We start from the raw sequence: 14,685 nt of genomic DNA, 5'->3' as shown, positions 1-14,685 counted from the left end.
CGAGACCAGCCTGGGAAACATAGGGAACCTCATCTGTACAAAATAAAAAATAATAACCTATCCAGGTGTAGTGGCATACACATGTGGTTCCAGCTACTCAGGAGGCTGAGGTAGAAGGATCACCTGAGCCCAGGAGATGGAGACTGCAGTGAGCCATGATCATACCACTGCACTCCAACCTGCGTGACCCAGTGAGACCCTGTCTCAAAACTTAAAAAAAAAAAATTATTTTTTTAATGAACACCACAAACTGTAAACAGAAAAACAGGGAGCCGGGGAAGTGTATATAGGTCTTACATAGACAAAACCAACAGTTGTCCACTATCCATATGGTGGAATAAGATGCAGCCATTGAAAAGAAGACATGGACTGGGCACAGTGGCCAAGGCAGGAGGATCACTTGAACCCAGGGGTTCAAGACCAGCCTGGGCAACAGGGCAAAACCCCATCTTTACAAAAAATCGGCTGGGCATGGTGGTGCATGCCTGTAGTCCCAGCTACTCGGGAGGCTGAGGTGGGAGGATCACTGGAGCCTAGGAGGCTGCAGTGAGCCGTGATCGCGCCACTGCACTCCAGCCTGGGTGACAGAGTGAAACCCCATCTCAAAATAAATAAGTAGATATTTTTGAAAGAAGATTTGGTTAACTTTATGTATCAGGCAGAAAGCATTTAACTTTTGTTTTAAACTCAGTTAAGCCTTATAAGAACCCTTTGAGGTGGGGACTATTATTATCATCATTTTACAAATGGAGAAATCATAGCAGAGAGAACTGGTATAGCTTGCCCAAGGTTGTACCGCCACCAGCGGGCTGAGTTGGCATTTGAACCCAGGCCATCTGGCCCCAGAGTTAATGCCCAGAACCACTATTAAAGTGTAAAGTGCCGGTGCCCAACAGGAGGTCTGGTGTGAGGCCTCTGTGGAAAACAAGAGCCCCCTCCCCATCCACATATGTTTACCTGGTTATTTAAAAAAAAAAAAAAATTTTGGAATGATGCATACGAAACTGTTACTAGTGGTTATTTCTGGGCGATGGGTTTTAGGGGCTGGGAGGAAATATGGATGGCTGGTTTGGGTTCTTTTTACTTCACATCATTTTTACTATGAGCATGCCTTAGTTTTGTAAGTGAAAAATGCCATCTTTGGTAGAATGTTTGTTGTCACTTGCACCCACGATGGAAATCTCTGACTTCTACGCTCCTAACCTCCAATCTGTATGGCTTTTCCCTGTGTCCACAGGTGACTTTGGCAGGCTATGGCTTCGCCTTCCGCTATTGCCCAAGTGGCAAACACGTGGCCTACGTGGAAGGCAGCAGGAGCCCTCACGAGGGGGACCTTGAGTTCATTAGCATGGACCTGCACAAGGGATGCGGTACGAGGCCAGGGATGGGTTTGGGACCGCAGAGAGATGCTTCTTATACAAGGGCAGCTCTAGGAGTTCACAGCCAGAGACAGCAGGTGGCCAGACAGGAGAGGCACTAAGGGCGCCAGGACAGGGATTGGAACCACAGACAGCGTCCCGACCGCAAGGGAGGTGGGTGGGGTAGCGGTTCAGCACTAAGCATAGTGGGAGGCTGGGCACTGGGGAGCCTGAGTTCCAGAGGTTGGGGTTCAGGATCTGTTGTAGACTTGGAAGATGGGAGTTGCCTAGGAGTCATCCAGGAGGGGCTGTTGAGGAGGTGGTTGGCCACCACATCTGGAGTGTGGGAGGGAGATCTGGGCAGAGGCTCTGCAGTATCTCAGAAGTTATCAGCCGAAGCCCTGGGAGAGGATGGGATCATCCAGGGAAAGTGTACAGACTAGGAAGAGGGCCCAGGGCAGATTTCTTGAGCCCCTCTTTCTCACATCCCTTTATATCATGGCCGTCCACATGCCTGCCACATCCTCCCATCAGACTGAGCTCCCCCAGTACAGGGATGGCACCCCTGCCTCCAGCATCGGGTGGTGGAAGGCCAGCACGGACAAGTAGTGCTTGTCGAGTGCTTACACAAAGCGTTGTCTAAATTAAGCGTTGTCTTATGCTCAGGAAGCATAAGAAAAATAAACTGTCAGAGTCTCCCCCGCCCTCCCCCACTGAGGCTGGGTTTGGTACCCATCCTTCTGGGCTCCCGTGTGTTCTGTGTCCTTTGTCACTCAGGTAGTCGCACGCTATAGCTGTCTCCCCACTAGGCTGTCACGGGCTGGGACCCGACGAGATCCTGGTCTGGGTTTTCAGAAGTGAGCTGGGCCTGGCACACGGGTGCTGAGGCTTGATTGAATGAGTGCATGAATGAAAGAGGAGTGGATGAGGGTGACCTGGTAAAAGGGGCTGAGAGAATGGTTGAGTGAGAGAGAGAATGAGTCAGCTTCTGCCTACTCATGAAAGTGAATGAGCGGAGGAGACAGCCCATATGGCTGGAAGGCTGGGTGTATGAGTGTGTGGTTGAGTCAGTGAGAGAGAGGGGAAGGAAGGGGGGTGGACCCACCAGTGAGTGGAGCGTCCAGACTTGAGCTGCCACCTTTACTCCTCCTTCCCCAGGGCCCTCCCGCCGCAGCGACCTCCAGAGCCTGGGCTACTGCATGCTGAAGTGGCTCTACGGGTTTCTGCCATGGACAAATTGCCTTCCCAACACTGAGGACATCATGAAGCAAAAACAGAAGTGAGTCTAGGGGTCAGCAGAACCCCTGCAGGTGGTCAGCAGAACCCCTGCAGGTGGACAGAAGCCCAGAGCCCAACTGGGAGCAGGAGGGAAGGGGAGGTGGCATCCAGCAGAGCCCAAGTCCTCTGAGCCGCACAGGCATGTGCTGCAGTGTCCACACAGCAGGCGAGGCAGGTGTTCCGGAGCCACACTGCCTGGGCTCAGACTCTGGCACCACCACTGTGGGGTGTTAACGTCTGCGAGCCTCAGTGTCCTGCTCCATGAGATGGTCTCCTACTAGCTACTACCTTATGGGACTGCAAAGAGTTCAGGGAAGTCAGGTGCACACAGCACTTAGCACAGGGGCTGGCTCAGAGAAAATGCTCATTGTGGCCGGGCGCGGTGGCTCACGCCTGTAATCCCAGCACTTTGGGAGGCAGAGGCGGGCGGATCACGAGGTCAGGAGATCGAGACCATCCTGACTAACACAGTGAAACCCCGTCTCTACTAAAAATACAAAAAATTAGCCAGGCATGGTGGCGGGCGCCTGTAGTCCCAGCTACTTGGGAGGCTGAGGCAGGAGAATGGCGTGAACCTGGGAGTGGGAGCTTGCAGTGAGCCAAGATTGCACCACTGCACTCCAGCCTGGGCGACAGAGCGAGACTCCGTCTCAAAAAAAAAAAAAAAAAAAAGCTCATTGTGTGTGGGAAACTATGACTCATTCATCACAAACATGCAGGCAATCTGAGCAGGATAGGCCCAGGCCCTGCCTCAGCACTGGTAGCACCACCTATGCAGTGTCCACACTGCCAGATCAGTGCCTTCACCTCTGTGTAAACCACCAGGTCTTACCAGTGCTGGTTTAAACATTCAGCACCAAAGCCGGTGGACAGCGGAACATATGAGGAAGTTCTGGGGTGAGATTGAACACTAAGGGCATTGAGCAGCTGGACACAGAGGGAGCACTAGGGGTATGGGTTCAGCACTAGGGACAGCAGGCAGCTGGGCACAAAAGGGAGGCACTAAGGTGTGTGTTCAGCACCAAGAACAGCAGGCAGCGGGACACAAAAGGGAAGTGCTAGGGATGTGGGTTCAGCACCAGGGACAGCGGAGCACAAAAGGGAAGCGCTGTGGGTATGAGTTCAGCACCAAGGACAGTGGGCAGCTGATCCTAGCGGGCGTGCTAGGCATGCACTTCAGACATGAATATCAGTTGCCCAGGCCGGGCACGGTGGTTCACGCCTTAATCCCAGCACTTTGGGAGGCCAAGGCAGATGGATCTCGAGGTCAGCAGTTCGAGACCAGCCTGGCCAACATAGTGAAACTCTGTCTCTACTGAAAATAACAAAAATTAGCCGAAGCAGTGGTGGGCACCTGTAATCCCTGCTGAGGCAGGAAAATTGCTTGAACCCGGGAGGTGGAGGTTGCAGTGAGCCGAGCTCTCGCCACTGCATTCCAGCCTGGGTGACAAAGCAAGACTCCGTCTTGGACTTGTTGCCCAAGTCATCTGGGAGGCAGCTGGCCATCTACGTCTGAAGTGCAGGAGTGAAGTCTAAAGGGAGACTCAGACCCCGGGAATATCTCCGGAGCCATCAGCTGAAGCCCCAGGAGAGGATGAGATTATCTGGGAAGGCATATAGAGTGGGAAGAGGGTGAACCCTCCAGTAAATGGCGTTGAGTCCCTCATGTTTCCCTGTCCTTAGTGTGCCGTGAAGTCCTTCCCAGTCCTTCCCTCACATGAAGCCTTTCTCGTTTTATTTTACTCCCTTCGTGTCTCCCAACTTCCTTCTCTCAACCATGGACAGCTGCTCAAGCACACTTAACATGTGTTCTGATGTGTTCACTTAGATGTATTTGTACCCTCAAAATCGCATGCTGGCCGTGGTGCTGTGTGTGATTTGCGTAAGTGATGTTCCACTCTGCGTCTCATCTGTCTCTGGCTCTCTTCAGCTTTAACCCTATCCCTACATGTGGACCGAGTTCACTGCTTCTGACTCCGGCTTCTAAATCAATTTTCTATAGACATGTCTGTGTCCTTAAACTATATATGGTGGTACTGTGTGTTAATTTGTATAAATGGCACTATGCTCTAAACCTCATGCTGTTTCTTGCCTTCTTTCACTCAATGTTATGTTTTTAACTTTAACTATACACCTAGTTCACTACTTCTGAATACTCCTAAATGTGTTAGTTTAGATGCATCTGTGTCCTTAAAAACTCTATGATGTTCTTGGGTATGTGTTTAATTGGCATAAGTGGCACCATGCCCAGAATTTCATCCTCCTTCAGAGAAGGGGATGTGTGTCGTCATTTTGACTTCCTTCTACTGACTGTTCAAAGCTAACATTTATTATACACTTGTCTGTGCCAGGCACTGCCCCTGGTGCTTCCCCTGCATCCTCACAACTGCTCTGAGCTGCGTGCTCTCGTGATCTGTGGCACAGAGAGCTTAGGTAATCAGTCCAGGCCACACAGCTACTAAGCAGGGGCTCCTGGGCTCAAACCTGGGCCATTCAACTCCAGAGACAGCCCATGTCACCTACGTGCTGCTTCCCAAGTGGAGGAGGCTTATGAGGTGAACTGGTGGTTCCTGGACCCAGCCTACCTTCACTCAACAAATACTGAACCCTTGCCATGTGCTAGACTCTGTTCTAGGCCCTGGGGATACAGGAATGAGTAAGACAAAAATCCCTGCCCTCAGGGAGCTCACATCCTATTGCGGGAGACAGGAGCTAAAGGGTGAAACACATGGTGTGTCAGAGGTCAGACTGATGAGGGTCATGAGGCCAGGTCCTGGGTGTCCACTGGTGGGACTGTTGGTGGGGGTGTGCAGCACACTTGTAGGTCTAATGTCAGGGGCAGGTCTCGCAGCGATGGTAACAGGTAAAATGCCCCCTGAAGGACCATGAAGCTTTAAACAGTGGCAAGAAGGATGACACAGTTTGATGCTAATTTGCCCCAACATCCCTGCGGAAAGAGGAAGAGACAGGCCTTCAGCCCCCAGACTTCCGCAGGCAACCTCTGCATGGGAAGCCAGCCTCAGGACCTGCTAGAACACAAGTCCATTGCCCCATTTTCTTGGAGCTTATTTTTACACTTACTCTCTAGCTTTAACAGATGGTGCTGGGGTTTTCTGCTCACAGTGGTGAGACAGGTTTCTTTTGAAATGAAGCCAGGTGAAAACGAGTCACAGAATGAGTGGCCCGCTGGAGTCCCTGTGTAAGTGAAGGTAGTGAAATGCTCCCTCACACACTCTAATGGGTTAGTTCAGGACAAGACTGAGCTGTTCTCACAAGGAGACCCCAAAACACTGCAGCTTCCATGAGGGAGGGTTCACTCCTCTCACTAACAGTCCCAAGGCAGGAGACTGAGGGCAGTAGGGGGGCCTCAATTCCCTGTGACACACACACACATCCTTCTCTGGATACAACAGAGAGCACACATTGTGGGTGCCCAAGGAATAGCAGCAGATCTGGTGCGGTGGCTCACGCCTGTAATCTCAGCAGTTTGGAAGCTTAGGTGGGCAGATTGCTTGAGCCCAGGAGTTTGAGACCCGCCTGGGCAACGTGGTGAGACCCCATCTCTACAAAAAAAGTAGCCGGGTGTGGTGGCACGCGACTGTAGTCCCAGCTACTCAGGAGGCTGAGGTGGAAGGATCACTTGAGTCCAAGGAGGTGGAGGCTGCAGTGAGCTGTGATTGTCACTGCACTCCAGCCTGGGCAACATAGTGAGACCCTGTCTCAAAAAAAGAAAAAGGAAAGAAAAATCGTAGTGGAATGAAGAACAACTAAGGAGTGAATGCTGAGCCCGCCCAGGCTTCAGTGTGGACACAGAGGTCGGGCAGACGCAGCCCCAATGTCGGGAGTTCAGGGCTGGGAGGAGACACGGACAGGAAGCAGGAGCTGCAGGTGAGGGTGGAGGTAGCCCGGCACTGTGGGAGCAGAGGGGAGGCACAGGACCCCGCCACCGGCTCCTGGAAACCCTCACCTGGGAGATGCCTGACCTGGTCTCTAGAGAACACAAGAGCCTCCCAGGTGGGCAAGGGGGAGGCAAGATTCCTAGGCAGACAGGACAGCACAGCTCTGAACCCTCTCCACTTACGCATTCAGTGCCAGGTTCCTGAGGCCAGTGGCTGTGCTGGACACCCAGGTTAGAATCAGCCCATGGTGCCTCTGAACTCCAGTCTTGTCAGGGAAACTGGTCTCCAAGGCTCCCCTCGGTTGAGTCTTCTCCCCACTTCACTTCCTAACTCCTAAGAGCGGTCTTATCATGCTTTTCACATCCCCCCATCTAAAGAGACTTGTTGAATGTGACTGGTTCACAGAGAGGGTCTGCACTCGCCAACATGGTGCAGGGTGAGTTAAGACAGGTCATGGTAATCATCTCATATCAATGATAGCAGCATGGATAACAGTAATTCCACAGCCCCAGCTCCAGACCACAACCATAGAGGGCCAGGCGCACAAAAATGCTCTCTGGAGAGTAGCTGGCAATGTTGACACTGTCCCCCAGATGCACCTCCTCACCCCCAGCCCATAGTCTGTTAGCCCAGACAATAACCAAGGGGACCACAAGGGGGCGATGTTGCTACATGCTCGTTTCCTGGCACCCTAAGGTGCCCTGCGCTAGGACGGTTTACTGGTATACATGGCCTTTTTCCATTCATTCAACAGATACTCATTTTTTGCACATTGTAGTTCACGACAGACAAAATGAGTAAAAGAAGGAGGAGAGGCCGTTGAAGTCCCCGAGGCTTTCTGGCATTCAAGGCCCCTTGCTGGGCAAAGCACAAATGAGAGCCAGCTTTGGACCCGCTGTTAGGGCTGCCCACCTGGCCAGGGAGAGCCCATGGCAGGTGGTGGCAGTGGTGTTGCTGTGCAGTGTATAATGTCCTGTTGATGGCACAACCGGGCCTTCCTGCGCATGTATGTCAATGGCCGCCATGGGACATCTGTGGACCTACGCACAGGCCCAGGAGGGACAGAGTTCCTCCGCCTGGAGGGGTCTGGGGAAGACTTCTTGGGAGGCCAAGCCCTCGAGCTGTATCTCAAAGGGAGAACAGCCACCTGCCAGAGCTCAGGGTGGGGAAGACCACCCAGGCAGCGAGAGCGATATGTGCAGAGGCATACGTGCGTGGATGTGTGGCCTCGTGGGCCTAGGAGTCCTTTGGTGTGGCTGGGACATGCAATGGGAGGAAGGAGTGGGGAGATGGAGTCAGAGGGTGGCCAGTGTGTGCTGGGGAGCCATGGGAGGGAGGGTGGGCTGTGAGCAGGGAGGGTCAGGGACAGGTGTAAAGAGACCCTCTGGGTCCACATGGGGATACACAGGAGGCCAGCAAGGAGTTGAGGTCCAGGGAGAAAGGTTGAGGGCTGAGCTGGCCCCAGATCCATGGGGCAGAGGAGGACATGGGGCAGAGAGAGTTGAGAAACTGGAGGGTGGGGCTGGGGGATGGCGAAGGCAGGGTCAGAGACCAGTGACTGGGCAGGTGGTGGGAGCTGGCCCGATGGGCCAGGCAGAGAAGTGGAGGGGCTGGGCCTGGAGGATGGAGCAAAGGCAGTGGGCAAATCAGGATTTTTCCTGAACAAACGGTTGCACGTGCATGCATGTGTTTGTGTTATACATATATGTGTATGTGTGTGTATGTACATATACAGTCAGTCCTGATTATTCAGAGTCCATATGTGTGAATTCTCTTACTCACTAAAAGTAGTTGTAACCCCAAATCAATTCTTGCTGTTCTTTCATGGCCACTTACAGACACAGTGTGGAGAAAAATTTTAATCATCTGACACACATGTTCCCAGCCTAGGGTGGAACCAGACAGCATTCTGCCTCCCTATTTCAGCCTCCACACTATATACGCTGGTGTCCTTTTCACTGTTTAGTTAATGATACATTTTTTCCTGTTTTTATGCTTTTTGTCAGTGATTATGCCATTTAAAATGGCCTCAGCCAGGCGTGGTGGCTCACATCTGTAATCCCAGCACTTTGGGAGGCCGAGACAGGAGGATCAGACCAGCATGGGCAACATAGTGAGACCCCATCTCCACAAAAAATCAAACAGCCACCTAGCATAATGCTGAAGGGCTGTCTGATGTCCCAAAGCCTGAGATGGTTAATAATTCGTGTGTTTTATCAGCTTTGTTCAGGCATGAGCTACGGTGCTGTTGGTCATGAGTCTGTGGGGAATTCTTATCATTTCAGGTTGCCTTGGGATTCATTTTAATGTAAGCTGGACTTTGTCATGCCAGAAACAAGGCTCGGTCACCGTCAGCAGTTTGCAGTTTTCCACCTCCTCCCAGTTCCTCCGTGTGGTTGACCCAGATATCTCCGTTATGCAGCCGCCTCCGGGGGACCACCTCCCTCCCTTTGAGTCAGCCACAGACAGCCTACTTGACGGCCCCGCTGGCCCCCACATTCCACTGAACTGTGCGGATGCCACAGTGACCCCCTCTCAGGCACAGCATGACCTCCTGAAGTCGAGCCTGCTTGCTTTGAACCTACCAGTTAAAATCTCCTCAAAATGTTTGGATACCGCCCATTGGCCCCTCACAGCCACGAGCTCCCTGACCAGTGTGCGTGTGTGTGTGTGTGTGTGTCTGTGTGTGTGCTTGGGACGGGTGGGGAGGTCACCTTTGGGTGTGCGGTGTGCCCCCAGGACCTGTAAGTAATAAAATCTTTATTTCCATCTTGGATCTTTCCTCATCATCAAAGGGATCCTCTCCGTCTTAAGGATCACAGATTAAAAGAGTTCAATGCTAATGAATCAACAATACTTATTACATAAGATGTATTTCAACAGAAACATACATAAAACAAGGTGTATTGTTTTGTTTTGTTTTGTTTTTGAGACGGAGTCTCTCTCTGTCGCCCAGGCTGGAGTGCAGTGGCTCAATCTAGGCTCACTGCAAGCTCTGCCTCCCAGATTCATGCCATTCTCCTGCCTCAGCCTCCCGAGTAGCTGGGACCACAGGCACCCGCCACCACACCCGGCTAGTTTTTTATATTTTTAGTAGGGACAGTTTCACCGTGTTAGCCAGGATGATCTCGGATCTCCTGACCTCGTGATCCACCCCCCTCGGCCTCCCAAAGTGTTGGGATTACAGGCGTGAGCCACTGTGCCCGGCCAAAACAAGGTGTATTGATCGGGGAAAATCGTGTGGCCAGAGGCTTGCAGGAAGCAGTGCTGTTTCCCTTGGGAGCAATGGTAGTGGATTGGTTGATTCAGTGTTCACAGTGACTTTAAGAACATAACTTCCCTGGATGGCAGAGGGGACTGTGTATATATCTTAGGCTGTGTATATATCTTAGGCATTCTGTTTTAAAAGGTTGCTCTCCTTTCCCTAAGAGACCTTTCACATGTGTTTCTGTCCCTTCAGGTTTGTTGATAAGCCGGGGCCCTTCGTGGGACCCTGCGGTCACTGGATCAGGCCCTCAGGTACGTCCTGAAGGGAGCGGGAACAGGCGGGGACTCGGGCAGGACCTGGTGGCTCAGATCCATCTTGGGGTGGCTTCTCCTTACACCTCTTCATTTTTTTTAGTTTTCCAAATTGCATTTGTAATACGTACCCATTGTAGAAAGACAAAATCGTCAAAAGATTCACTAGTGCCTCTGAAAAACAAAACAAAAACACAACTTTTTTTTGAAGACAGGGTAATTTTTTTTTTTTATTTTTAAGACAGGGTCTAGCTCTGACATCCAGGCTAGAGTGCAATGGTACGATCTCAGCTTACTGCAGTCTCCGCCTCCCAGGTTCAAGCAATTCTCGTGCCTCAGCCTCCCAAGTAGCTGGGGTTATAGGCGTGCGTCACCATACCTGGCTAGTTTTTTGTATTTTTAGTAGAGACGGGGTTTCATCATGTTGCCCAGGCTGGTCTCGAACCCCTGGCCTCAACTGATCTACCTACCTCGGCCTCCCAAAGTGCTGGGATTACAGGCAAGAGCCACCATGCCCGGCCATTTTTATGAACAAAAAATAAGCTCACCCTACATACATCTCATTCTACCTCTTGCTTTTTTCACTTAACCCTGGGGCCATCCTTCATGCCCTTCCTTATAGATGCACCACAGCTTTTATCAACAGCTGCACAATGGTCATGGTTTGTCCGCACCGTAACTTATAAAGCCAATCCCTGTTACTGGGTATTTGCACTGTCTTGTTGGGGTGTCGGGGGTGTTTGTTTTTCCTGTTGTCTTTGTGCCCCTCCTGAAGAGCTTTGATGCTTTTCTCCAAGCTGGAGGCAGAAATGGACAGACAGAAACAGATAGCTTGTTCCCTCTGGCTCTCTAAGGCTCATTTTTTAATTATTTATTTTTTTAAAATTTATTTTATTATTTTTTTTGAGACGGAGTCTTGCTCTGTCGCCCAGGCTGGAGTGCGGTGGCGTGATCTTGGCTCACTGCAAGCTCTGCCTCCCGGGTTCAAGCCATTCTCCTGCCTCTGCCTCCCAAATAGCTGGGACTACAGGCACCCGCCACCATGTGTGGCTAATTTTTTGTATTTTTTTTTTTTAGTAGAGATGGGGTTTCACTGTGTTAGCCAGGATGGTCTCGATCTCCTGACTTCATGATCCACCCGCCTCTGCCTCCCAAAGTGCTGGGATTACAGGCGTGAGCCACCGCGCCCGGCTGAATTACTTTAAATCCCTGGGTTCAGATTATGGCTCAGCTGCCCAAGTGACACTCCCCTCCAGTTCTACCTCTGTGAACCTTGGGCCTCGAGGATTTTAAGCTGGTCAGCCAGAGGTTGGAGGTGGAGGTGAAGCAGGGCCCGCCCTCTTTAAAGATACATGCTAAATATTTATATGCAGGTAGACTGCATTGCTAGCTGGGATTTGCTTTAAAACACTGCAGGCCAGGGGAGGGGTCTTGATGAAACAAGATTGGCTGTGAGGTGATCCTTGTTGAAACTGAGTGATGGGTACTTGGGTGTTCATGCCCTTCTACTGGTGCCTGCGTATGACATTTTCCAAAACTGAAAAACAATTGAAGTCCTCTGGCAATGCCAGGCAACAAGAAAATGGGCACTTTTGCTGAGACCCTCATGCCCCTCAGTCCCCCACCCCTCCATCCTTGGGTGGAGACCCCCAGGATCGGGGTTGGGGGATGCCTCTCAGGCTCTCCCTTGCTGGGGGTTGTCTTGACCACAGAGACCCTGCAGAAGTACCTGAAGGTGGTGATGGCCCTCACGTATGAGGAGAAGCCGCCCTACGCCATGCTGAGGAACAACCTAGAAGCTTTGCTGCAGGATCTGCGTGTGTCTCCATATGACCCCATTGGCCTCCCGATGGTGCCCTAGGTGGAATCCAGGTGGGAAGAGCTTGTGAGGCTTAAGCCTCTCACCCCTTGCCCTCACCCGAGCCCTGCCCCAGGCTCCAGGAGACACTTCCCAGAGGCTGTTCCACGTTCATACCAGGGCCCAGCTTCCCAGGGAGACACTGGGTTTTTCCGCACGGTCCTTGAACTTCCCAGCCTCAAGGAATGGCAAGTAGCAGAAACCCGGCTCAACTTGGCTTTAAGAAAAGTGGGGATTGATTGGCTGTTGTAGCTAGAAAATTACAAGGGGGAGCTTCAGGCACAACGGGATTCAGGGCCTCAAAAATAGCATCAAGACGTTGTTTGTCTCTCGCCATCTTCTGTCCCTTCTTGCATCCATGCCTCCCTCTGTCCTTCCACCCGGCCACCTGTAGTCTCTACTTTCCTTTGGCCTGGCCCCCTTGGCGCCCCCATACACAAAAGGTAGCTGCTCCATGCCTTCGGGTCTCGTTCATAGTGCGCACTACCCCTTCCTGTGGATGACGGACACTCCTCACAGCCAGCAGCTGGGCGTTTGCTTAGTTTCCCAGATTTTTATTTTACCAACAGTGCTGCCTGTGTGCACAGCCCGGCTGCTGGCGCACGCTGTCTGTGGATGGAGGTATCAACTTGACAGTGCTGACTAGATGGCTTTACTTCCATCAGCACTTTGTGTAAACGTGCAGGAATTTTTACAAGGTCAAAGACAGACTACACAGTAAATTTTGGCAAGGGTGCAGAGATGTGTGCTGAAGAGGAGCTTCTCCAGGCTCCTTTTCTCTCCCCGGAGTAGTCATTTCTCTCATCGGAGTTGGCTGGAACCAAAGCTCAGTGCTTTGTCTGATTTGGCACCACCCTGGGGGCATTTGGCAGTGTCTGGAGACACTTGGTTGTCAGGATGCGGGACAGTGGAGGCCGGGATGCTGCCTGACATCCTGTGACATGCAGCACGGTGCCCACCTGTACCACCCCACAAAGAATCCCCCGGCCCCGTGGTCAGCAGCACCACGATTGTGAGATCCTAGTCGCAGGGCATCTTGAACAGCATCTCCTTTTGACGGCCTGTCTCCCGGCGCAGCGACGTTCTTCTTGGCGCTTGGATTACAAGTGCTTCTGCATTCCCACAACGTTTCCTTACATCTGAGGCTGAAACCTGAGCTGACACGTGTGTGTCAAGCGATTCGTGGAGCACCTGCGCACAGAGTGGGCCAGTGGTGAGGGGTGGGGACTCTTTTCTCCGTGGTGGAGTAGCAGGCTCTCTGCCTCAACCAGTGGTGCCGAGAGTAAAGTCATGACCTGTGCCAATCTCCCTCTTTCCCCCACCTCTCCAGCTCGATACACAGCTCCTCCGTGTACCCAGTTATCCAGGCCAGACAGCTCGGGGTCCTCCCCAACACCCTTGCTCCCCCAGCAGCCTCCTCCAAACCTTCGGTCCCGGGTGAGACTGACCACGGGGTCACTTGTCACAGTCTTCTGCTGGCAGCCAGCTCCTCCAGGGCAGGGTCGCGTCTGACTCTGTCATCTCTGCTTTTCTGGCATGGCACAGGGCAGAGGCTTCATCCTGTTTATCGATGGAGCGAGCCCAGGCTTCCCGTCGTCAGTGCCACTGTGTCTCACAGTGCCTTCCTCACCCAGGGCAAAGGGCATTTAGAACCTGACACCTGACAACCTCCCAGGGTCTCCACCGTCTCACACCCACGCGCTCCCTGGAGGCCACTCACTCAGCCCCTTGGTTGGGAACATAACGAGGAGATGGCATTTAAGGAGCCCAGTGATCTTCGAGCACCTTGAAGGTCATCTTGCCTGTGCTCCACAGCAGCTCCTTGCCTTGGCCCGAGGCCGAGCTCCCTTCCTCCCCCGTGCACGATGCACCAGCCACACCCCCGCCCCTCTGATTCTAGACCAGGCCAAGCTGGACCCCACCCCGGAACCTTTGCACCTGCCATCCCGAGTTCTGGAAAGCTCCCCTCATCCTGGCTTTATGTACCTGCTGCTTCTCAAGACCCGAGGCCTTCCCCATCCTCCATGAGGCATCCTCACTGCCTCCCCACCCACTTGCTCATCATGTCACCTGTTTTCCACACAGCCCTTGTTCCCATCTGGAGGGAAGCGTGTGTTTAGTGTGTAGTCTCCACCCGCCTCCTCCTCATCCTAAGCCCAGCAGGGGCTCCTCATCCCGTATGGTCATGATGACATCCCCAGTACCTAGAAGATGACATCCCCAGAACCTAGAAGGTGCTTGGCATGAAGTGAAGGCATAGAGGGTGTTCCTTGAATGAATGAGACACTAACAGCATTTTTATTGTCTTCCAGAACTTTCCATTTGCAGTGTGCAACAGAAAAAAAAAAATGAAGTAATGTGACTCAAGGCCTGCTGTTTAATCACAGATAAGCTTCTAGAACAAGCCCTGGAATGTGCATTCCTGCCACTGGTTTCAGGATACTCATCAGTCCTGATTAGCCTCCCGGAGGGCCCCAGTTTCCCTCCCGTGAATGTGAAGTTCCCCATCTTGGTGGCCTGCCCTTCAGCCAGTGTCCTAGCAAAGCTGGATGGGGTTGGGCCGGCCCACAGGGGGGACCCCTCCTACCCTTGACACCTCTGTGCTTTGGTAATAAATTGTTTTACCAGAGCTTGAGGAGTCAGTTATCTGTAAAAGTTCTTTTGGGGCCCAGGTGCTGTGGCTCATGCCTGTAACCCAGCACTTTGGGAGGCCAAAACTGGAGGATCACTTAAGCCCATGAGTTTGAGACCAGCCTGGGCAACAGGGTGAAAC

At 52.3% G+C, this 14,685-nt stretch overlaps 1 protein-coding gene across 16 annotated transcripts in view, besides 2 other annotated features; it reads left to right on the top strand.

Moving 5' to 3' along the window:
- The window catches only part of VRK3 (VRK serine/threonine kinase 3), a 48,905-nt gene extending 34,364 nt beyond the window's left edge, over positions 1-14,541 (top strand). For 6 of the 16 annotated variants that reach the window (XM_005258972.5, XM_005258971.4, NM_001025778.2 and 3 more), the window contains 5 exons: positions 1,238-1,370; positions 2,517-2,637; positions 9,996-10,054; positions 11,767-11,926; positions 14,225-14,541. In XM_005258972.5, coding sequence (XP_005259029.1) covers positions 1,238-1,370; positions 2,517-2,637; positions 9,996-10,054; positions 11,767-11,915 — 462 coding nt within the window. In that variant the 3' untranslated portion in view covers positions 11,916-11,926; positions 14,225-14,541. Of the gene's footprint in view, positions 1-1,237; positions 1,371-2,516; positions 2,638-4,075; positions 4,711-8,820; positions 9,305-9,995; positions 10,055-11,766; positions 11,927-14,224 lie in introns of those variants that run through there. The other 10 variants (XM_047438900.1, XM_047438898.1, XM_047438901.1 and 7 more) reach the window with 4 other exon arrangements.
- Positions 3,620-3,787: a silencer, noted in NCBI's record as "fragment chr19:50490479-50490646 (GRCh37/hg19 assembly coordinates)". NCBI's record gives its function as "represses an EF-1alpha promoter that drives an FKBP-Casp9 reporter gene in an ReSE screen in HepG2 liver carcinoma cells {active_cell/tissue: HepG2}" and the evidence as "EXISTENCE:reporter gene assay evidence [ECO:0000049][PMID:32094911]".
- Positions 7,248-7,477: an enhancer, noted in NCBI's record as "active region_14970". NCBI's record gives its function as "activates an Ori minimal core promoter by ATAC-STARR-seq in GM12878 lymphoblastoid cells {active_cell/tissue: GM12878}" and the evidence as "EXISTENCE:reporter gene assay evidence [ECO:0000049][PMID:35858748]".
- Positions 14,542-14,685: the final 144 nt, after the last annotated feature.

Source organism: Homo sapiens, chromosome 19 (assembly GCF_000001405.40).
Source record: "Homo sapiens chromosome 19, GRCh38.p14 Primary Assembly".
Classification (NCBI taxonomy): domain Eukaryota; kingdom Metazoa; phylum Chordata; class Mammalia; order Primates; family Hominidae; genus Homo; species Homo sapiens.
This window is presented reverse-complemented; position numbering and strand designations above follow the sequence as displayed.